This window comes from Homo sapiens, chromosome 4 (genome assembly GCF_000001405.40).
Source record: "Homo sapiens chromosome 4, GRCh38.p14 Primary Assembly".
Lineage (NCBI taxonomy): Eukaryota > Metazoa > Chordata > Mammalia > Primates > Hominidae > Homo > Homo sapiens.
In genome coordinates, this window is record NC_000004.12 from 123527664 (window position 1) to 123551467 (window position 23804).

The 23804-nt window shown below is 41.9% G+C and overlaps 1 long non-coding RNA gene across 1 annotated transcript, besides 2 other annotated features; it reads right to left on the reverse strand.

Moving 5' to 3' along the window:
• Positions 1-489: 489 nt before the first annotated feature.
• On the reverse strand, positions 490-18853 carry LOC105377405 (uncharacterized). Its single transcript, XR_939171.3, has 4 exons — positions 18582-18853; positions 12517-12619; positions 8701-8872; positions 490-6195 (listed from the first exon to the last, which is right to left on the reverse strand). It is a non-coding gene; the product is annotated as an uncharacterized LOC105377405 (long non-coding RNA).
• Positions 8637-8837: a silencer, noted in NCBI's record as "peak5100 fragment used in MPRA reporter construct". NCBI's record gives its function as "represses an SCP1 promoter by STARR-seq MPRAs in K562 erythroleukemia cells {active_cell/tissue: K562}" and the evidence as "EXISTENCE:reporter gene assay evidence [ECO:0000049][PMID:32103011]".
• Positions 19975-20558: an enhancer, noted in NCBI's record as "H3K27ac-H3K4me1 hESC enhancer chr4:124468793-124469376 (GRCh37/hg19 assembly coordinates)". NCBI's record gives its function as "activates a minimal SCP1, AML or CMV promoter by ChIP-STARR-seq in primed H9 embryonic stem cells {active_cell/tissue: H9 hESC(primed)}" and the evidence as "EXISTENCE:reporter gene assay evidence [ECO:0000049][PMID:30033119]".

Genomic DNA, 23804 nt, shown 5'->3' on the forward strand with positions numbered 1-23804 from the left:
GGCTGTTATCTCTGCATGAATTCCTCATAAAACCGAAAAGCTACCCAATAGGTGCTGAAAACAGGTCAAATACCATATTAGATGTCACATTGGGTAGCACACACACATGGGAAAGCACAAAGACTGGCTTAGAGTGCCAAAGTAAGAAATGGATCACACTGGCTGGGCGCGGTGGCTCACGCCTGTAATCCCAGCACTTTGGGAGGCTGAGGTGGGCGGATCACGAGGTCAGGAGATCAAGACCGTCCTGGCTAACATGGTGAAACCCCTTCTCTACTAAAAATACAAAAAATTAGCTGGGCGTGGTGGCATGTGCCTGTAGTCCCAGCTACTTGGGAGGCTGAGGCAGGGGAGTGGCTTGAACCCGGGAGGCGGAGGTTGCAGTGAGCCGAGATTGCACCACTGCACTCCAGCCTGGGTGACAGAGCAAGACTCCGTCTCATTAAAAAAAAAAAAAAAAAAAAAAAAAAAAAAAAGAAATGGATCACGCTTTCAAAATGCTAAGTGCTAGCCAGATGAGTGGCAAACATGTACGTGAATGTTGTTGTATCTCTGTGTAGAAGAAACAACAGCAACTGGGAGGGCCAGTGGCATTCATTCAGACCCACAATCTCATGGTGTTAGGTCCCTTTCCAAGGCATGTGAGCAGCTCCAATCGTTTGGTTCTGGAATTCTGTAAGTCTGGTCCCTGCGTTTAATTTGGTTTCTTCTGGCTTCCACTCACCATTAGCCATCTGCTCAGGTACCCACTGTGGGGTTAGAGGAGGTAGCCTTTTGCATCATATTGTAAATAGTGTCGTCACCACATTGGGGTACATTTTTGTGGTTAGTTTTTAACTACCCCTTCCAAAGATAGGGACAACAAAGACCAATTTTTGAATTGTATCTGATTCATTTTCCAATAGGATTCTGGATTTTTGATGGAAAAGTCTGTCACACGGGATCTGCGTTCAGTAATGAACTTGGCAGAAAGGCTGACATGAACCAGAGGCTGTTCCCATGAGCCTCACTAACCTTACTTCAGATGGCTTCCATTATGTGGGGCGTGCCACTATGAGCCCTTGTAAAATGAGGAGAGCAATGTCTGTCTTACTGGAGGCTCAAAGGGCATGATATATGTAGCAAGTTTAGGACAGTGTCTCACACAAAAAGTAGCTTTTGTTGCTAATATATTGGGAATCTAATAATGTTACCTTTTTTGTTGTTGCTAAGAAGAGGTATGGCTTATAAATAACAGACAAATTGCTGATAAAACTAAAACTAAGTAGAAGTCTATGCAAATGGTATACAGTGGGACAGTCATGCTGCTATTGTGCTGACTCTGTTTGGCCTGAATGGGCTCAGTCTTGCCTGTAGGTCTTCCCAAATTGTTGTGCACCAAGAGCTGGGTTTCTCTTCCTTTTTATTCTTTTCTTTCAGTACTATTGCTGAGTGGTGCTAAAGTCCAACAAGCCTATTTGATGTTAGCTCCAAGTTGTAGATGAATATCCTGTGTGTGTATAGTGTTTCCTATATGCATGTTGGTACATGAACTTGGTCTTTTTAGGTCTATATCCTGTCAGTCCAGAGTAATGTGCTGACTCCAAAAAAAGCTGACACCTGAAATGTGCTTCCACAAAGTATATTTATCTCTGTACACTAAGTCCAAGTTTCTAAATGACACTTTCATGAATGTTAGACAATGTTTATAGCTGGAATTGCAACAGCTTTACAGTTCGACTTTTCTTATTGTGCCTTAGATTTTCAGGGAGGAGTAAACTTATTCGCTAAAGAACCAGATAATAAATACTTGGGGCTTTGCAGGTCACATACAGTCTCTGTCACATATTCTTCTTCTGTCCTCTAAACAATCATTTGAAAATGTAAAAGTAACTCACTGTGGGTGGGATAGGAGAGGTGGAGGGAGAAGGGTAGCTATAAAATTAGGTTGAGGCCACAGGCCCTCAGCTGTAATTTACCTACCCCTATAGGACATCATAGTGGGAGATCCTGAATAAAACAATACAAATCAAAACAGTGATCCTCAGTGATCCTGCCACACAAACTTTGGGGAATCAGTTTGGAACTGACTGATTGGTTTCCCATTCCTGACTCATTCTTTTGGTAATGGGGAGTTGAATCCATCAACTCACAACCAACCCTCCTTTGTAGCCACATCATTGTGGAACAAACTTGAGAAGACTGTAAATTTCTCTTTTGGACTGAGCAGTAAGTACTTCATTAGTAAGTGTCATTAGTAAGTGGTAACAATTTGTAAAGTCCTTTGAGGAGAAAGGCAAAATCATAAATATTAATTATAGCCATTGTTTTGATGAAAGGAGGATTACTGGAAGCACAGAAGCCTCTAAATCTACCTATTAAACCATACTCCAGCTCTTATGTTCTCGAATGAAGGGGTTAATTATATTAGAAAAAATTCCATGGGATTCTTCTGTGGTCTGAGGTCTAATAAAAGGTTCACTTTTCATATGACATTATTTTAGAAGTGCTTTCCAAAGCTCAGAGTCATTTTCTTGAGAAAAAATTTTAATAAAGAAACTTTAAACTCTTAGTGCGTTTCATCAGGAATGCAATGCAGTAATAGAGTCAGGTTATTGGTGCAAAGCCCCAGACTTTAGTGTTAAAATGAACCCCATCTACAGGGTGAAATTTTTAAGGAGGTATAAAACACACTTAAGGCTTTTTGAAATAGTTATGAAAGAGAAAAAAACTTGAATAAACATATTTTTTTCATATTTTATATGTGTTATATGTGTTACCATGGAGAAAATAATTAGAAAGTTACTTCTAAATGAGTGACTTCATTTAGATGAAAATGTTTCTTTTGTGAACTCCTACACTAGCTAAAAAGCCATAAACTATGCTGACGGAAGGTGTTGATAATTTACTATCCTTATAAATGTCATCTTTTAAAGTGCCGATGCTTGAAAAAGGAAAGGGATGATGTGTCACCATGTTAAAGGAAACTTATTTAGAAAGAAAGGGGCATGGTAAAATTCAAATGAATGAGTGGGCGATTAAGTTTTAATTTGTACATAGGCCTATAAAAAGATTAGGCCAAAGGCTTGGTTTTTAGCATTGCTTTTCTTATCATAAAAGTAAAAATTATAAAATATAAAAAATTATGTGTAATTCCACCATCCAGAAAAAAGCCATTAAAATTTTATTGTCTCTAGTTATTAAACTATTTTTAACAAAATTAGATAATACAATGAATATTGCCTTGTAACTAGCTTTTCTCACTTAATATATCAGATCATCTTTGCATACTATCTGTTCATGTAACTTTTATTGAAAACTATACTTTGGTAAGATCGTTTTAATGGCCATACAATTTTGACTCTATGACTGTACCATAGTTTGCTTGCCAATCCTGTTGGATATATAGGTGTATTGGTCAGAATGCATTCTGACCTCAAATAAGTTTACCCTCAAAGGGGAATTTGGTGGCTGTTATAATCGGAGAGGAAGAGATGGGGTGGGCTTCTGAGTCATTTGGATGCAGAGCTGGAAGCATCACGACTGTCTTTCCATTTCTCTGCCTTAAATCTTTCTTCTGTTGTTGCGATCACTCATTCTCCATCACTTCGAATGACTTTGTGAATGGAGATGGCTGTAGGCAGCTCCAAAGTTACAAGGCAATTCCTGGGGGAAGGCTTAGCAATGCCAAAGGAAAGAAACCTCCTTTTTCCAGCTTCATTTGGGAAATCTCCAGAAAAGAAAGGCTCAGAAAGGCTTACCTTTAGGCAGGTGCTCACTCCCGGACCAACTGATAGAGCCATTGGGAGTTACTCCAATTACCTGGGCCTTAGTCATGGGCCTCCCTGTGGTCAAGGGGAGAGCCAGACCAGTAGAATACATAGACCCATCAAAATGCAGGGAAGCCCAGTTTTATTTTTCCTTATAGGAAGTGAGGGAGGCCAGTCCCAGAAGACTGGAAAATATGGTGCTATGAAGGTAAATATAAGCCTTGTCCATTATGTAGGCTGTGACCAGTTTATGCAATTAAATTTAGCTTGTAGCTAAATCTTGGAGAAAAGTTTAAAAACAGAGGTCAAATTGATGTCAGTGAGATGGTCGACTATCACTCTCCTTCAAAAGATGGATTAAAACAATGAACAAACAACTACATTTCAACCCGAATGACTAAAAGAGAGTGCTGGAGCATAGCAAGGGTGTGGCAGAAACCCTGCAGGGTGCAGAAACTCAAGATGGCCACATCGAGAAGGGAGCAGAACACCTTGCCTCTGTCATACCGTCTCCCTGGTTGGGATCAGCTCAGGACTTCAGCTCCATAGCCACTCTGAGCACTTGTGCCCTGGAACACAGCACTGCTGTGGCTGCCTGTGGCTCATGTCAGACCCAAGGCCAAGAGGGATCCCCTCATCCAAGTCTCTCCACTATTGGGGAAAATAAGAACAGGAGGATCCCTTACCACTAGGAATTCACAAAATCTACCTTGCCATCACTGCTGCCAGAAACTCCTGCAGCCTAGGCCTCTGAGGCACTCATGGTCATCACTGACGTGGATTACACATGAGACACTGTCTTTATAAAATAATAAATTAATTAAAAATTAAAAAGAAGAAAGATACCAAATAAATAGCCTAACATTATACCTTGAGAAGCTAGAAAAAGAACAAACTAAACTCAAAACGCCTATATTAGAAAAGAAGAAAGATCCCAAATAAATAGCCTGACATTATATTTGAAGAAGCTAAAAACAAACCCAAAGTTAGCAGAAGAAAATAATAAAGATCAGAAATAAATCAAATAAAGAACAGAAAAACCATAGAAAAAAAATCAATAAAACCAAGAGTTGATTCTTTGAGGAAAAAAACAAAATTGACAAACCCTTAATTAGACTAAGAAAAAAAGAGAGAAGACTCAAATAAATAAAATTAGAAATAAAAATGGAGACATTACAACAGATGCCTCAGAAATAAAAAAGATCATAAAGGATTATTATGAAAAATTATATGTCAACAATGTGGATAACCTAGAAGAGATGAATACATTCCTAGAAAAATATAACCTACTAAAATTGACTCAAAAAGAAATAGAAAGCTCGAACAAACCAATAACAAAGATATTAAAGTAATTAAACACCTTCCAGCAATGAAAAGCACTGAACCAGATGACTTCAGAGAAGAAGTTCACAAAACATTTAAAAAAGAATTATTACCAATACTTCTTAAACTCTTCCAAAAAAAAAAATAGAGCTAGAGGGAATACTTCCAAATATATTTCATGAGGCCAGTGTCACCTTGATACCTAAGCCAGACAAAGATACTTCAAGTAAAAAAAACCTACAGGCCAATAAGTCTTGAACTTTGATACTAAAATCTTCAATAAAATATTAGCAAACCAGATTCAACAACACATCAGGAAGGTTATACATCGGAACCAAGTGGGATTTCCCTGTGGTGTACAAGTGGGATTTATGCATGGCATGCAAGTCAATCAATGTAACACATCTATTAAAAGACTAAAAGAGAAAAACCACATGAACCTCTCAATTGATGCAGAAAAACTATTTGACAAAATTCAGTATCCTTTCTTGATACAAACTCTTAACAGTTTAGATATAGAAGGAAAGGTCCTCAAAATAATAGGGACCATTTATGAAAAGCTCACAGCTAAGATCATAATCAACAGGTACAAATGAAAGCTTTTCTAATAAGATCAGTACAATACAGGGATGCCCCCTCTCACCACTTCTATTCAATGTAGTATTAGAAGTACTAACAAGGGCAATCAGAGAAGAAAAAAAGGCATCTAAATTCAGAAAGATGAAGCAAAATTATCCCTATTTGAGATATTATCCTTTATGTAGAAGGCCTCAAAGATCCACAAAAAACATTTAGAACCAAAAAAATGAATTTGGTAAAGTTGCAGGATACAAAAATCAGTAGCATTGGTGGGGCACGGTGGCTCACGCCTGTAATCTCAGCACTTTGGGAGGCCGACGCGGGTGGATCACTTGAGGTTAGGAGTTTGAGACCAGCCTGACCAACAAGGTGAAACCCTGTCTCTACTAAAAATACAAAAATCAGCCAGGCGTGGTGGCAGGCACCTGTAGTCCCAGCTACTTGGGAGGCTGAGACAGAATTGTTTGAACCTGGGAGGAGGAGGTTGCAGTGAGCCGAGATTGTGCCAGTGCACTCCAGCCTTGGTGATGCAGCAAGACTCCACCTGAAAAAAAAAATCAGTAGCATTTTTATACACAAATAATGACCTAACCAAAAAAGTAATTAAGAAAACAATCATATTTATAATAGCAAAAAATTAAACATCTAAGAATATATTTAACCAAGGGAGTGAAAGACTTGTATACTGAAAACTATAAAACCATGATGAAAGAGATGGAAGAAGACACAAATAAATGGAAAATTATCCTGTGTTCATGGGTGGGAAAAATTAATCTGTTAAAATGTCCTTATTACCTATAGCAATATACAGATTTAACACAATTCCCATCAAAAGTCTAATGGCATTTTTCACAGAAATAGAAAAAAATACTAAAATTCACATGGAATCACAAAAAACTCTGACTAGTAAAAGAAATGCTGAGAAAGAAAAATAAAGTTGAAGGCATCACAGTTTCTGAATCAAAATTATATTAGAAAGCTATAGTAATCAAAACAGTATGGTACTGGCATAAAAACAGAAATATAGACCAATGGAACAGAATAGAGAGCACAGAAATAAACCTAAGCACATGTGATCAACTGACTTTTGACAAGAGCACAGAAAGGACATAATGGGGAAAGAATAATTTCTTCAATAAACAGTGCTGGTAAAACTGGATTTTTTACATCAAAAGTGTGAAATTGGACCCTTATCTTACACCATACATGAAAATAAATTCAAACTGAATAAAAGACCTAAATTTAAGACCTGAAACCATTAAACTCCTGAAAGAAAACACAGGGGAAAAACTCCTGAACATTGGTATTGGCAATGAATTTTTGGATATCACACCAAAAGCTCAGGCAACAATAACAAAAATAAATAAATGGTACTACATCAAACCAAAAATCTTTTGCACAGCAAAGGAAACAATTGATAAAATGAAAAGGCAATCTATGGACTAGGAAAACAATTGCAAACCACATATCTGATAAGGGGTTAATATCAGAAATTTGTAAAGCACTCTTATAACTCAATAGCAGAAAAACAACCCAATTAAAACATAAGCAAAGGACCTGAACAGACATTTCTCTAAAGAGACATAAAAATGGCCAAGAGGAATATGAAAACATGTTCAATATTACTAATCATCAGGGAAATGCAAATTAAAACTGCTATGTGATATCAACCTCACACCTGTAAGGATGGTTATTATAAAAAAGACAAGACATAACAAATGTTGGCAAGGAGGTAGAGAAATGGGAACCCTAGTACACTATTAGTGGGAATGTAGACTGGTACAGCCCTTATGCAAAACAGTGTGGAAGTTCCTAAAGATATTAAAAATAGAATTATTATATGGCCCAGCAATCCCTCTTCTGGGTATACACCCAAAGAAGATGAAGTCACTACCTTGTAAAGATATCTGCTCTCTCACATTCATTGCAGCATTATTCACAATAGCTAAGATATGGAAACAACCTAAATGTTCATCAGTGGATAAACAGATAATGAAAACATGGTATATATATATATATGAATATTATTCAACCTTAAAAAGGAGATTCTGCCATTTACCACAATATGACCTGGAGGACATTATGCTAAGTGAAAGAAACCAGACACAGAAAGAAAAATATTATATAATCTCACCTTTATGTAGAATATATACATATTTAAAAAGAGCTCAAATACACAGATACAGAGAACAAAACAGTGGTTACCATGGGTGGGATGGGGGTGGGGATGTGGAGCAGGGTGGGAGGGAAAGGAAATGGGGGCAATGTAGGTCAAGCGATCAAAATAGCAGCACAAAGCAGTTTAGAGAGCCAATGTACAACATGAGTAATAAAGTTAGTAAAATTATACTGTATTGGAGATTTTTATTAAATAAGTAGATTTTAGCTGTTCTTGTCACAAAAAAGTAACTATGTGAGATGATAGATATGTTAGTCTGCTTCACTATAGTAACCATTTTACTACTATATGTATCCCATAACACTATGTTGTAAACCTCAAATATACATAATCAAATGCATTTAAAAAATAAAATAAAAGTGAGATCAAATTGGTTTCTCCAGACAGCTGTTGTATTTTTAAAAAAATTAATTCAGAGAATTATAGCAACATACTAGAGTGGTAGAACAGTATAAAAACTGAAGAATTATAGCTCCCTAACTGTTCTATTCCAAATCTTCTTTACAATTGATAATACTCTAGCCACTAAGTATTTTGTGCTTTTCCCTTTATTTACTTAATAAATTTGTTTCAATTTCACCAACTTCTATTTCCTGAATGAAGAACTTCCTGCATTAAGAAGTTCATTATCTGAATTACAACTTGTTATAATCATTCCACATATAAGGCAGAAAAACTGTCAATTACCCTGGAGTCTAAGCAAGACTCCTTTAATCTGTTCTCCTGATAGAATCAGGTTTTCGTGTTGATTAAATGTATTGCACATTATTGATTTTGTCTCCTCCATATTACTAAGGGAAACATCTTTTAAGATAATGCAAAAGCCTATGAGGAAATTGGGTGAGTCCGGGAGGTCTACAAGAGTTGTACCTTAGGAGCAAAGCTTCATATAATGAAGCACGCCTTCTTCTCTCTTTCATACCGCCGAAGAGCAACAGGAACCACAGGCTCTGACTTCTGCTTCTTGCCACCAAACCTCACGCAGGCAACTCTTTAAGCAGTAGCCATTCAAAAATAATTCTCTGCTTCCTCACCTTTTTGCCTAAAATCAGGGCAGAAATTTTCCTTTTGTAAAGGAAATTTACATTTGTAAATGAAATTTGTATTTATATAGACAATTTGTAAATCTCCCCTCATCTGGAGATGCCTTTTATTACCTAAGAGGACTTCAAACTGCAAAATAAACCTTATTTACCATATAGTTTATAATTACCTTCCACAACTTATCCCCACCTCAGAGGCCCAACACCATTCATTTGTCTAGTCTCTTCTCCACACCTCACCACTCTTTGTTAAGATAATACATAAGCTCCTGCATCTAACCACTTCTTTGGGGTTGGTAGTTTCAGGTAATATCCCAGATACAGCAGCAAAATACCAAAACTGAATTCATTTGCAGTGTCTGTATTATCTAATTTGACCATTCACCTGCTAAAATTAACTAAATGTTTTTGGATTTCCACTTAGTCTGGACATAACTGAGATCAAGATTGACTAAATGAAATAATTTTATCTCCTCAAAAATTATTTAGCATGTACTGTATGCAGCACACTGTAAGCTATGCATAGAAGAAGGAAAAAAAACTTTTCCTCTACCTTCTTAGTTAGGGTCAGTGATTGGAGCCTGTGAATTATACTTACAAAGGACAAGTTAACAGGAGAAATAGTTTATTTCACATACACCCAGAGGTGATAAGTGGGGGGCTCCCAGAAAAGAAGTGAAAATCCCATTGATAATTTGACAAGGCAGGATATTGGCTTTGCTTCAAAATCATGAGATAGAGCCTTACCCCATCCTCAGAGAGTAATGAAATGTGATTGGTTTTGGAAATTTATGCTAAGAATGGTACTTGGGAGAGATGTTGAGTTTACAAGAGGTGATAGCCAAAAGTCAGAAAAAAAGTAAGACTAAAACTTTAGATAAGGTTTTAGAGTAGGTTACAGTAGGAAGTTGTATGGGGAACAGAGCTGGTAGGGGACTTGAAGCTTGACAGACGATGGTGGGTTCGGAGATTGCACATGGAAGCTATGGAGCAGAGGCAGCTCATGGTGACAGACCTGGGGCTCTGTGCCCAGGAAGATGAAAAAGGGAGTGGAATCCAGAAAGCCCCAGAGTTTGGATTTGGGTGGCTGGAAGGAATTTGGTTTTAATCAGAATCAAGGGGTAGGCCTGGAATTCAGGCACAAAGAGTTTTCCTTCCCCATCTCCCCTACCCTCACCCTTTGGGGCCATGAGAAGTAATGAGAGGTGACAGTATGCTGGCAGTCCTCACAGCCCTCGCTCATTCTCCGCGCCTCCTCTGCCTGGGCTCCCACTTTGGGGGCACTTGAGGAGCCCTTCTGCCCACTGCTGCACTGTGGGAGCCCCTTTCTGGGCTGGCCAAGGCCGGAGCCGGCTCCCTCAGCTTGCAGGGAGGTGTGGAGGGAGAGGCGCGAGCGGGAACCGGGGCTGCGCGGGCGCTTGCGGGCCAGCTGGAGTTCCGGGTGGGCGTGGGCTCGGCGGGCCCCGCACTCGGAGCAGCCAGCCGGCCCTGCCGGCCCCGGGCAATGAGGGGCTTAGCACCCGGGCCAGCGGCTGCGGAGGGTGTACTGGTTCCCCCAGCAGTGCCAGCCCACCGGCGCCGCGCTCGATTTCTCACCGGGCCTTAGCTGCCTTCCCCCGGGGCAGGGCTCCAGACCTGCAGCCCGCCATGCCTGAGCCTCCCACCTCCTCCGTGGGCTCCTGTGCGGCCCCAGCCTCCTCTATGAGTGCCACCCCCTGCTCCACGGTGCCCAGTCCCATCGACCACCCAAGGGCTGAGGAGTGCGGGCGCACGGCACGGGACTGGCAGGCAGCTCCACCTGCAGCCCAGGTGCGGGATCCACTGGGTGAAGCCAGCTGGGCTCCTGAGTCGGGTGGAGACGTGGAGAACCTTTACATCTAGCTCAGGGATTGTAAATACACCAATCAGCACCCTGTGTCTAGCTCAGGGTCTGTGAATGCACCAATCAACACTCTGTATCTAGCTACTCTGGTGGGGCCTTGGAGAACGTTTATGTCTAGCTCAGGAATTGTAAATACACCAATCGGCACTCTGTATCTAGCTCAAGGTTTTTAAACACACCAGTCAGCACCCTGTGTCTAGCTCGGGGTTTGTGAGTGCACCAATCAACACTCTGTATCTAGCTACTCTGGTGGGACCTTGGAGAACCTTTATGTCTAGCTCAGGGATTGTAAATACACCAATTGGCACTCTGTATCTAGCTCAAGGTTTGTAAACACACCAATCAGCACCCTGTGTCTAGCTCAGGGTTTGTGAGTGCACCAATCGACACTCTGTATCTAGCTGCTCTGGTGGGCCCTTCGAGAACCTTTGTGCCCATACTCTGTATCTAACTAATCTGATGGGGACATGGAGAACCTTTGTATCTAGCTCAGGGATTGTAAACTCACCAATCAGCGCCCTGTCAAAACAGGCCACTGGGCCCTACCAATCAGCAGGATGTGGGTGGGGCCAGATAAGAGAATAAAAGCAGGCTGCCCTATTCGGCAGGGGCAACCTGCTCAGGTCCCCTTCCACACTGTGGAGGCTTTGTTCTTTCGCTCTTTGCAATAAATTTTGCTACTGCTCACTCTTTGGGTTCACGCTGCTTGTATGAGCTGTAACACTCACCGCGAAGATCTGCAGCTTCACTCCTGAAGCCAGCAAGATCTGCGAGCCCACCGGGAGGAATGAACAACTCCAGACGCGCTGCCTGAAGAGCTGTAACACTCACAGCAAAGGTCTGCAGCTTCACTCCTGAGCCAGTGAGACCACTAACCCACCAGAAAGAAGAAACTCCGAACACATCCGGACATCAGAAGGAACAAACTCCAGACCCGCCACCTTAAGAGCTGTAACACTCACCGCGAGGGTTCGCGGCTTCAGTCTTGAAGTCAGTGAGACCAAGAACCCACCAATTCCGGACACAGTAAGAGAACTATTAGTCCCTGAGAAGTCAATTTGAAGGTGAACCAGAAATAGGCATTGGACAGATCATTAACATTCTGATCGGTGTTCATCAAGTCAAACTCAAAAATCCCAGGCACCTGGAGATACCCAATTTGTATCCTTTGATATCACCAGTGTTGAGAATTTACTCTGAGCAGAAACCACATATGCTACGTTTTAGAGGACATAAGACAGGGGTAAGTACCCTACAGGAATAAAAATGTTTAAGGAACATGGGTTTAAAAGAGAAACCTCGGCTGGGCGCTGTGGCTCATGCCTGTAATCCCAGCACTTTGGGAGGCTGAGGCGGGCGGATCACGAGGTCAGGAGATCCAGACCATTCTGGCTAACACGGTGAAACCCCATCTCTACTAAAATACAAAAAAATTTAGCCGGGCATGGTGGCGGGCGCCTGTAGTCTCAGCTACTATGGAGGCTGAGGCGGAAAAATGGCGTGAACCCGGGAGGCGGAAGTTGCAGTGAGCCGAGATCGCGCCATTGCACTCCAGCCTGGGCGAGAGAGCGAGACTGTGTCTCAAAGAAAAAAAAAAAAAGAGAAGCCTCAATTCTCCAATGGTAATGGCATAAAGTTACCTAAAAGTGGACATTCAGATCAGGGCTTCTTCCTCAAAGAGGCTTTAAGGACTACACATACTATGGGTTTTGTTGTTCAGATAAACAGACTGTCAATTCTAGGGGAAAAGGCTAAATTTACCTTGTTGAACGAGGCAGATCGAATATTGGAACAGTCTCTTTTAAGATTACTTGAACAGGACTTATGGACACTTCTGAGTGAGTGCAGAGGGTTTTGATTATTTCTAAAAGAAAAGAGAAAACTTTTTATTATCTCTTTTTTTTTTTTTTTTTTTTTTTTGAGACGGAGTCTCGCTCTGTCGCCCAGGCTGGAGTGCAGTGGCGTGATCTCGGCTCACTGCAAGCTCCGCCTCCCGGGTTCACGCCATTCTCCTGCCTCAGCCTCCCAAGTAGCTGGGACTACAGGCGCCCGCCACTAGGCCCGGCTAATTTTTTGTATTTTTAGTAGAGACGGGGTTTCACCGTTTTAGCCGGGATGGTCTCGATCTCCTGACCTCGTGATCCACCCGCCTCGGCCTCCCAAAGTGCTGGGATTACAGGCGTGAGCCACCGCGCCCGGCCTTTATTATCTCTTAACAGAAGTAGGGAATAATGTTGATTGGCTCTTGGACCAAAGCTATGCTGCTTTAACCTACTCAGCTTAAAGCTATTTCATTTTGACTTGTAATCCCTGATGAGATTTAAAAAGGGCAGGTTTTTCAAGGTCCATGATTTTAAAGATTAAGGTTTCATAATACTATGTCCTTGATGCGCACCAGTAGAAGCAGTTCTACAGTTTTGAGCATACACATTTAGTCAAACCAAGAAGTATGATAATTTAAATTATGGGGTTTGGCTGGGTGCGGTGGCTCACGCCTGTAATCCCAGCACTTTGGGAGGCTGAGGCAGGTGGATCACGAGCTCAGGAGATCGAGACCATCCTGGCTAACACGGTGAAACCCCGTCTCTACTAAATATACACAAAATTAGCCGGGCATGGTGGCGGGCGCCTGTATTTCCAGCTACTCGGGAGGCTGAGGCAGGAGAATGGTGTGAACCTGGGAGGCAGAGGTTGCAGTGAACTGAGATCGTGCCACTGCACTCCAGCCTGGGCGACAGAGCGAGACTCCATCTAAATTAAATAAATAAAAATAAAAAAATTATGGAGTTTAACAATGTTTAGTGATCAAATTAACTGGAAAACAATTTAATCTCTCATTCATTTTGTGTTATGGGGACTCAACTTCTAGCAAATCCTAATACTCTCTTGTGCACTAAGAATAAAGATTGTTGGCTGGGCACGGTGGCTCATGCCTGTAATCCCAGCACTTTGGGAGGCCAAGATGGGCGGATCATGAGGTCAGGAGTTTGAGACCAGCCTGACCAACATGGTGAAAACCCATTTTTACTAAAAATACAAAAATTAGCTGGGCGTGGTGGTGCGTGCCTGTAATCCCAGGTACTCAGGAGGCTGAGACAGGAGAATTACTTGAACCCGGGAGGCAGAGGTTGCAGTGAGCCGAGATCATGCCACTGCACTCCAGCCTGGGCAACAGAGCGAGACTCTGTCTCAAAAAAAATAAAAAATAAAAGAAATAATGAAGAGTCTAAAGTAGGCTGTGTATCCTAGGAGGAAAAACCATGGGCTATGCTGTCTTAGTACATTCCATTCCATTCCGTTTTATTTCATTAACATTTATTAAGCACATGATAAAAGCATCAAACCTACTGTTGTTATATGCCAGTGGCCAGTTGTTTTATTGCTGATCCAAAACAATCCTGTGAGAAAGTAGGGGTGTTACTATTACTATTTTACATATGAGAAATCTGATGGTTAGGTTACCAGCTCAAGGAAATGCAGGTTGTAAAATGACTGAACCAGAAATTTAACAAAGGTCTCTCTGACTCCAGATTCCATGATTAAACCTCCAGACCTTCTTCATACCTATCTTACATTCCTTGCTGATCTATTATAGGTTAGTGTCAGAATTGCCATAAGTTTATTTTGAGTAGTGCATTTTTGTACCAGGTAAGTAATTTACCAAGAAATTATCACTATCCATTTTAGGCCTCAAGTAGGGTACATATTTTGTCTTCAGTATCCTAGTGGTGGGTTATGGGACAAACCCATATCAAGCAAATCACCAAGCATTATACAGCCGCCTGTCCCCTGGGGTGGGAAAAATGAATTGTTTGGGATCAACCTGTGGACAGGGTGAAATATTGGCAAAAAGGTCTCTTCCCATTATTATTTACTCTGACTTTTGTGTGCCTTTCTGACTATATTCTCAAGTCCACCAGAGTTTCTGATCTGCAAAAGAATCACCAGCTGTAACAATTCTTATTAATGTATCAGTGACTAAGTGCATCACTAGTATTTTGTCTTCTTTAAAAAAAAAAAATGATGGCAGGCACGGTGGCTCATGCCTGTAATCTTAGCACTTTGGGAGGCCAACGTGGGAGGATCACTTGAGTTAAGAAGTTCAAGACCACCCTGAGCAACATAGTGAGACCTCGTCTCTACAAAAAATTAAAAAATTAGCTGGATATGGTGCACACCTGTAGTCCCAGCTACTCGGGAGGCTGAGGTGGGAGGATCTTTTGAACCTTGGAGGCTGAGGCTGCAGTGACATGTGATCATGTCACTGCACTCTAGCGTGTCACTCAAAAAAAGAAAAAAAAAGAGAAATGAGAAGATAATGGTTAACACAGAGAAAGCAATCCTTAGCAGCATAGATCTTGACAAAGATTATTTGCTTGATCAAATTTTAGTCAGGCTCCTGAAACTTCTCCTAGGCCCATCTGTGCACTTCCTTATAAAATCCAGTTTTAGCATGAAGCCTGCTAACTTTAGCATGAATCTCCCATCCTCCATGTCTGACCACCCTCTATGCCTAGATGGGTTCTTCATCCTCCACCATCTTTCAGGTGATGTCTGATCACCCCGGCCTGCCTCAGCAAAATGCTGTTAGGTTAGTTTGGTCAGAATCTCCCCTTAGCCCTGATATTCCTCTTAGTAATTTTTTTATCCTCCAACCTCCAGTCTTCTTGGCTATAAATTCCTACTTCCTCATGCTGTATTTAGAATTGAGCATCGGCCGGGTGCAGTGGCTCACGCCTGTAATCCCAGCACTTTGGGAGGCCGAGGTGGGTGGATCACCTGAGGCTGGGAGTTCAAGACCTGCCTGACCAACATGGAGAAACCCCATCTCTACTAAAAATACAAAATTAGCTGGGCATGGTGGCTTATGCCTGTAATCCCAGCTACTCAGGAAGCTGAGGCAGGAGAATTGCTTGAACCTGGGAGGCGGAGGTTGTAGTGAGCTGGGATCGCTCTATTGCACTCCAGCCTGGGCAACAAGAGCGAAACTCCATCTCAAAAAAAAAAAGAATTGAGCATCGTTCTATACTGAGTTCTGTACTTTTTCCAGATTGCAATAGTCCTGAATAAAATCTCTTTTTATTATTTTACTTTTTAGCTCTGGTTTTCTTTGACAATCTTTATGCATTTATTAGTCATCAGTATCTAACCCTTTAATATACTTGGTATTGAGCTCAACCCTGGAAAGTAATTGAGTAAAATCCACTTTCTGCCCTCAGAGAGTTTATATTCCAATGTAGGAGACAGATAAGTCAACACTATCACAATGCCTCATGAAAGGTGTCACTGGGATTACCCGCAAAAGTCCTGTGAGAGCAAAGGGAGGTTGTTGGGAGTGGCCAGGAGTGTTCAGGGAAGAGTAGCTTTTCTCTGCCTGGCCAATCACATTCCGTAAGGCTCACATTCGAACTGCAAGATGTGAGGGTAAACAGCTCTCCCAGCTTTCAACAATGTTGGGCAGCCTCAGTTCAAGCAGGTTGGTGAATCAGAATTTCTAAGTAATCTTTAAGGTGTTGTATGTCTTTTGGGGCAGGACTGGGGATGAAGAGAGTTGTTCTAAATGTCCAGAGAATTATCAGTACCATAGTGGAGGTACTCAGAAGTTCCTGCTAGTCCCAGAGTTTGGCGGTAAGGGTAGAGACTTTATCTCTTTTAAAGAACTTTCTCATAAATTAGGATTTGGGGTTAAGGTGAACCTAATTCTGGCTTCTAAATGTCCATGTTAAGGACTTGTATGGGATTTGGGGAAAATGGGAATAGCTTTTGTCATCAGTTCTACCCTTTGTGAGGCACCCATTTCTTGTGGCTCAGGCAATCTACACATTCTGGTAGTGTTTATTTTTAATTATTTTGATGGTGTTTCTTTTATTTATTTAGTCGATGGCTTTTAATTTCTTCTTTCTTTTCTTTTTTTTTTTTTTTTTTTTTTTTTTTGAGACGTTTTCTTGCTCTGTTGCCAGGCTGGAGTGCAGTGGCGCAATCTCAGCTCACTGCAAACTCCACCTCCTGTGTTCAAGCGATTCTCCTGCCTCAGCCTCCCAAGTAGCTGGGACTACAGGTGCATGCCACCACGCCCAGCTAATTTTTGTAGTTTTTTAGTAGAGACAGGGTTTCACCATGTTGGCCAGGATGGTCTCAATCTCTTGACCTTGTGATGATGGCTTTTAATTTCTTTGAATATAGTTAGAAAGCCTTATTAATATGTAATTCCCTACATTGTGCATAGTGATCCTAAAGATCTTTAGAATGCAGAGACCCTAAAGATTCAGAATGCCATCTGTGTATAAGATATTATCATTTTCAGGACCAGAATTTTAATCTGTCCCAAACATCTTGCTATTCAAGAGTCATTCCTTTGAATCAAGTTGCCCACCCACCTAGTTATTTGTCTATTACTTGTGTTATTTGGCCAAAATAATACTAGTCCATTAAGACCCACAGCTAAATAATAGCAGATTATTATTTTTAAAGAAATCAAAGAATTGGAGAGAGAACTCAGAGGTAGCATGTGGTGAAGCGAAAATTGGAAGAAAGAAGTCTACCAAGGGCTTCTAAAAGCATTGGCCAATGCTTCATAGGGAACACCATGAAAAAATAACCAAGATTAGGGGACAAACTTGGCCCATTTTGTGGGCAAAGGGTGAGCCTTTTAAGACTCCTATGGCAGATGATTTTATTTGGCTGCTTAGGAAGATGCTCAAGTTACAGAAAATAGCTTTTAATTAAATGATGGTATAGTCAGAAAGTCAACTGTTTTTGGTATTATATTCAGTTTTAACACTTTTTTAATATTAAAAAATGAAAAAATAATGCACTTAGAATATTTATCTTTAATTGTATAGATAAACTTCTCTTAGAGCAGAAATGAAAATATATTCAAGTGCAAAAGAGTATTCACTCTCACTTTCTATCTTTGGTCAAAGCAAAAAACTCTACTGCTAACATAATTTAGAGCAACAGTTTCCACACCTGGCTGATGATGAGAACACCATGGAGAATTTAAAGTACACATTCCCAGGCACCTATCCTGGATCTACTGTATCACTTTCCAAGAGTGGGGCCCCAGAATCTGCATTTTAAAAAGAGCTGTTGAGGTGATGTAGATATTCTGGCAGATTTGAAAACCACTGCCATAAAACAAACAGGGATTTAAAGCCCTCAATTTTATCTTAGCCTCTCACTGAATATGCTCTTGTAATGGTTTAAGGTAATAATGACCTTGTTGTAGGCTATTTCCTGTTGATTAATGACCAGCTGGAAGAAGTTGTCTCTAGGCTTTTTCAATTCAGCCTGCCAATAATTACTCAACTAAATCTGCGCCTGCAGTTCAAATGCGTAAAGTTTTCCTCTACAAGGAACACTGCACTGTTAGGTTGTCTTAATTGCATTCCTTTTCTAATTCATCTCTCAAATGCCACAGTTGCTCTAAAACAGAAAAAAGCAAACAGGAGGATCAAAGTGTCTGTCTCCATTGGAACAAACTGAAGCAGAGAGGCAGGGGAGAAGATTTAGCTCTTAGGTGGATTTTGCTGAAATGTTCTATTTGTTGAGCAGTGATTTGTACCAGGTAATGTGAACTAAGTTGCCCTCAGTCTCTTTACAGATTACACCCCATTTCCTTTACTGTGCTGCTAAGTAATTCTTAGGGAATTATTCCCCCTCCAACTTCTCTCTGCTAACAAAATGATCTGCCACATATGCTTCCACTTTATGTGCTGCAGGACAGCCATGGGCTTCATAAAGCTGCCTGCATTTCAAACTGTTCAGGCTGGAACTGTAATCTTTCCACCCACCCCTTTCCCGTCAGGTAAAGAAAATGTTCATACCTCAGGTTTTGTTACCAAGCAACAGAGTTCCATTTGCCAATTGCCACCATTTCCTTCTCATAGTATTACAGGCCTTATTAATTAACATTTAGTTCAGAGAAATTGCTGTCATTATGTGAAGTAACTTCCTTTAGAGGTTATTCATTAACCTTAGGTATTTTACTGTGTAATTATAATTGCCAAGTGCCGCGGGCTTGGAAAACGTTTGAACTCCTGAAGGTATCAGGGGACGGCAGAAAAGATATTATCTGATTTTTCTTCCATTTCCAGTTAAGGATTAATCTTGAAGATCCCCTATTTCCCCTGCAGAGTTATCTGCCTTCCCAAAAGGGTAAACTCTTCCCTTGCCTTAGTCCAGACTGTCCACGGTAAACTCAGAAGCAAACCATGGAGGAACTTCCCTGTTAGCGTGTGATTTTTCACAAATTCTGTAGGGCAGAGTGCAAATTGTTCCCCCTTTGTCTTAAGAAAAAATCGTGGGGATACTGAGATGACTTGGTGGTTGGTAAATGGTTGGCAGGCGCACTTGTGCATACGTGGGGCTCTGTGAAGAACTTGCACAATGCCTGGAATTGTATATTGTGCACAACCTTGTTCTGACACAACGGAAGACCTTCATCCTATTGCTCACTCGATGGCTCTCTGAGAGTAGTTTTTCACTCCCCAGTGTTGCAGGAGCCAGGTGTGCATTTTATAATACGCCTATTATACAGCCATTCTCAGTAGCCACTGCTTATACAATGACCCTTCTGATTTGTCCCACTACGGTGTGGGTGCCAATGACTTAGGTCCTCACCCAGTACAACTTCAGGTGTGCATTTCACATATATTTGCAGGCAAAAAATGCACCTCCCTCCTCTTCTTTCTTTGTTTCAAGACAAACAAAAGTAACTGGTATTTCACCCCGCCCTCCCCCCTCCAGCCCCCAACTACATGTGCCTGCAGCACAGGCGCCCTAGAAAGGGAAACCTGTTTTCCTCCTCCCAGGTTTCTGGTTTCTTCACCCAGTCTCCCCACAGTCCTCCACTCCCCGCACCCAGTCCTTCTGGCCTCTACCCAGACTCTGAGAAGTGGCCCGACATTCTAGGTAACCTGATTCCCCAGACGGGATAGGCGGCGGCCTGCTGCTGCGAAGGCGCGACCACGTGACCTTTCCTGCCTGCACCGGGGAAATGCATACCTTGTTCAGAAAACTAGGGGACAGGTGAGCCCAAGGTAGTGTTTTGAATCAGAATTAAAAACATGTATTTATTTAAAAGGTGCTTGCTTCTACATCAGACAGCTACCACTTTGATCATTCCAAATGAAAAGGCACGATTGGCCATGGGGTTTTATGGCGTGAACTGAGCTGCAAGACAAAGGAAGGACGATCTCCAGGAGGAAAAGGCGGAGCGGGTTTTATGGGAGCTGCTGCACAAGTCTGAACGCGGAGGCTGCACACGGGGAGGGCAAAGCCGCCCTGGCAGGAGCCCGAGCTGCAGGCCTCGGCTGGGAAGCCTGTCCCTCCTGTCCATTTCCCTGGCTCTCGCGGTCCCTCGTTTGTTCCTGACAGATTTCTTCTTTGATCTATGAAATGGGGAAAGTGGGGGACACTTTGATATACTTTAAGGGTGCAAGAATTTGCTGCTTTCTGCCCAAATAAAGGGCTTGTAGGGAGTTTCTTTGAGAACTGGAACATGCTGTCACATGTAATCTAAGGAGCTCAGTCTCCTCTTCCAGTGTCCATTAATCAACCAACACTTTTAAAGCATCTAGTATGGATTCTGTGAACTGTGGGGAAGTAAGGGCATGGTGTCTGCTTTTAAGGTATTTATGGGTTATCTGGGGAGATGGATATATGAGTGTAAATCATGACAGTAGTTAGCATGTATTGGGGATGCATTGAGTACTTCCCGTGTGCCAGGCGCTATTCCTCCTAACAACCCAATCGGGTAGGTACTATATTATCATCTCCATTTCACAGACGTTTTAGAGAGGTCACTCTCCCCAGGTCACATAGTGTGCAGCAGTCAGGTTATGATGCAGATCTGTCAGACTCCAGAGGAACTAGCAGCCTGTGCATGCCCCAATCAGGTACTATTCAGTGAAGGTGAGCGGCCGGTTTCATTCTGCCTCAGTTCTCCTTGCCCTCTCTCTGAGAAGCAGGGATACTGTCGAGGGTCACATGTGAGAACTTTCATCAGCCACCGTTGCCCCCAGGTACCCTACAGAAGTTCTGTTTCTTCCCCTTCCTCTGTTCTGTCCTCAACAACGCGTCCCATTTAATTTCTCCTTAGACAATGTTTATCTTGTGGCATACACTTTGTCCTCTCCTTTGTGGTTTTATAATCCAAGTGGAGAGAAGAGACCTAATTTGAAACAGATAAATATCAAAGCAGAACTTCACCTTGTTGAAATGGGTCTTGATCTTCTCTGAAATCCTTTCTTGAATGATTCACTGAAGAAAGTGTCTTCAATGATACATTCATCCTCTGATTTACATAGAGTAGTGACTTTCCTTACATGCACTCAGGTAGAATCAAGGTTTTCCCAGTACCCTTTGGCAGGTCTGACGGCACAGGCATCTTCAGCTCAACTTGCCACATATGGTTGTTGAACTCCCTCATGATGACTAAAGAACCAAACTTGCCTGGTTTTTCCAGGCAAGGCAACATTTTGATGTTTTTTAATAGTGTGAACACCTGCCAATAGGATTTTATGAGTATCATGGGGAGACGCATCCTCTGACCTGGCATATAATCTCACTTCTCTGGATGCTGGGCTAATTACATCAGCTCCGCTGGGCATGGGTCTAAATTGGAAATGTTCTAGTGTTTGAAAAATTCCAGATTGATAGGACTTAACCCCAGGATGCTTTATGATGTATCCCTAGTTACCCTAGTTGGCAGAAATTGAAAAGGCCTGGAAATCCCTATTTACTATAAGTCCCTCTTCTCTTAACTGGAAAGATGGGCATTGGAAGACTTGCTACTAAGTTTTACTTTGAGCACCTCTCTTGGCATCATTTATTACTAAAAATAATGGAAAAGACAGAGTAGGTATTGGGAAGCCTGTTTTCTAGTTCTAGGCCTGCTACTAACCAGCCTTGGACCAATTATACCCACTTCCACCCATGTGAGCCTCAGTTTCCTCACCTATAAGGAAATAAAATAAGATTTGGACCAGACCTGTGGTTTTAAAATCAGAGTACCCTGCTGTTTAAAAATCTTTTACATCTGGAGTTTTGTGTAAGGTTTTAGTTTACAGTTCACTGATAAACACTGTCATAAAGCCCCTGCTCTAGAGGCTTGCTGAGGTCCTGTTCCTCTTCAGCTTGAAAGATCTGCAATTCTATTAACACAGTTGGTGATAGCCATGTGCCTTGGGAATCACAGTTGTTTCATTTGGCTAGATTATTAATTGCAAGAGGAAAAGGAGTGGAAGACAAGATTGGAAATGAAATTTAAGTCCAGATTTGGGATTGCTATGGTGCTGTGAGACCAGGAATCTGGGCATTGTTTCATTGGAATTTGGGAGCCACCAATGATTTTTGAGAGCAAAATTTTGTCAGTTATGTTTTACATGCAGCTGTGAGTACAGGGACCTGAGAAATAGTGGCTGAAGTACAGATAAGTTATTCTCATGTACAAGACTCTGGAGTTGGGCAGTTCAGAGCAGGTGTGTCAGCTCCATGCAGTCATGCAGGGATCCAGGCTTCTCCTATTTTTCTGCTTTTCTGTTCTAGTGGAACAGGCTTTAAACTTCAGTTACCTCATGGTCTGAAATGACTGCTGGACCGACCCACCATGCTTGCATTGCAGGATAGAAGAAGGAGGAAGAAGGCTGGGCGTGGTGGCGCATGCCTGTAGTCCCAGCTACTCAGGAGGCTGAGGCAGGAGAATCGCTTGAACCTGGGAGGCAGAGGTTGCGATGAGCTGAGATTGCACCATTGCACTCCAACCTGGGCAACAAGAGTGAAATTTCATCTCAAAATAAAAAAGTTATCATTATTATTATTTTTACATTTCATTGGCCAGAATGTGAGTCACAATATAGATGTTATTATTTATTTTATTTATTTATTTTTTGAGACAGAGTCTCGCTCTGTCGCCCAGGCTGGAGTGCAATGGCACAATCTTGGCTCACTGCAACCTCTGCCTCCCAGGTTCAAGTGATTCTCCTGCCTCAGCCTCCCGAGTAGCTGGGATTACAGGCATGTGCCACCATGCCCAGCTAATTTTTGTATTTTTAGTAGAGACGAGGTTTCACCATGTTGGCCAGCCTGGTCTAGAACTCCTGACCTCAGGTGATCCACCCGCCTCGGCCTCCCAAAGTGCCGGGATTATGAGCCACCACGCCTGGCCAATATAGACTTTATTATGAGCAGCAGTGTGACTCAGTTGAAAGTAAGAGTTCTGTTCTGGGGTCTCCCATACAGGTGAGAAATGACTGGAACTCAGCTTTGGATTCATTTCTTCAGTGGCAGTAGATGGAAAACTATGGTCTACCTGGAGGGAATGAGGGCCTGAAATGGAGTGACCATGGGAACATGGGTAGGTTACAGAAGGGAAAGCCAATGCAGAGGAGGGCCGACAGGATTCTCCAGGTGTGATGGGATTTGCCAGCTGGCGTGAGGGAGTGGGAGGATACAAAAATCACATCTAGCTTGGGAACCATGTGAAGAGGATGCTGGTGATGCCATTGACTAAAGTAAGGACGTTGGAGTTTTAGGGAAGAAGGTAATGAATTAGGTTTTGGACATGTTGAGTTTGTCCAACAAACTGCAGTTTATTTGCACCAGGACTGGAGCTTGGGGAAATTTGTATTGTACATTTCTAAGTAAATATAAAGTTGACCTTTTTTTAATCTTAATGTCTCAGATGCTTTATTGGGCTTCATAAGTTGTTACTTAGGGGACTCTGTTAATCATAATGGAGTAAGGCAATAGGTTTACCTTTTCTCTTCTCTGCTGGACCCAAACTCCAGAGAACTTCTTTCCCACCATTGGGCTTAAGGATCCTGAGAGTCATGACAAAGATGATGTTCCAGGAAAATGCCTATTTCTTAAAAGGACTTTTGCCCAGAATACCTATGTGTTCTTCCACCCCAATGAGCTCAAATGTGAACAAAGCAGAAAGCTCTTCAATTGTAGTCCAGAGGCATTTCTTAGTAGCATCCCTTATTTCCTTTTTGCTCTGAGCCTCAACCTGGCTCCACTTGATCTTTCCTGTCTCGGACCCATTG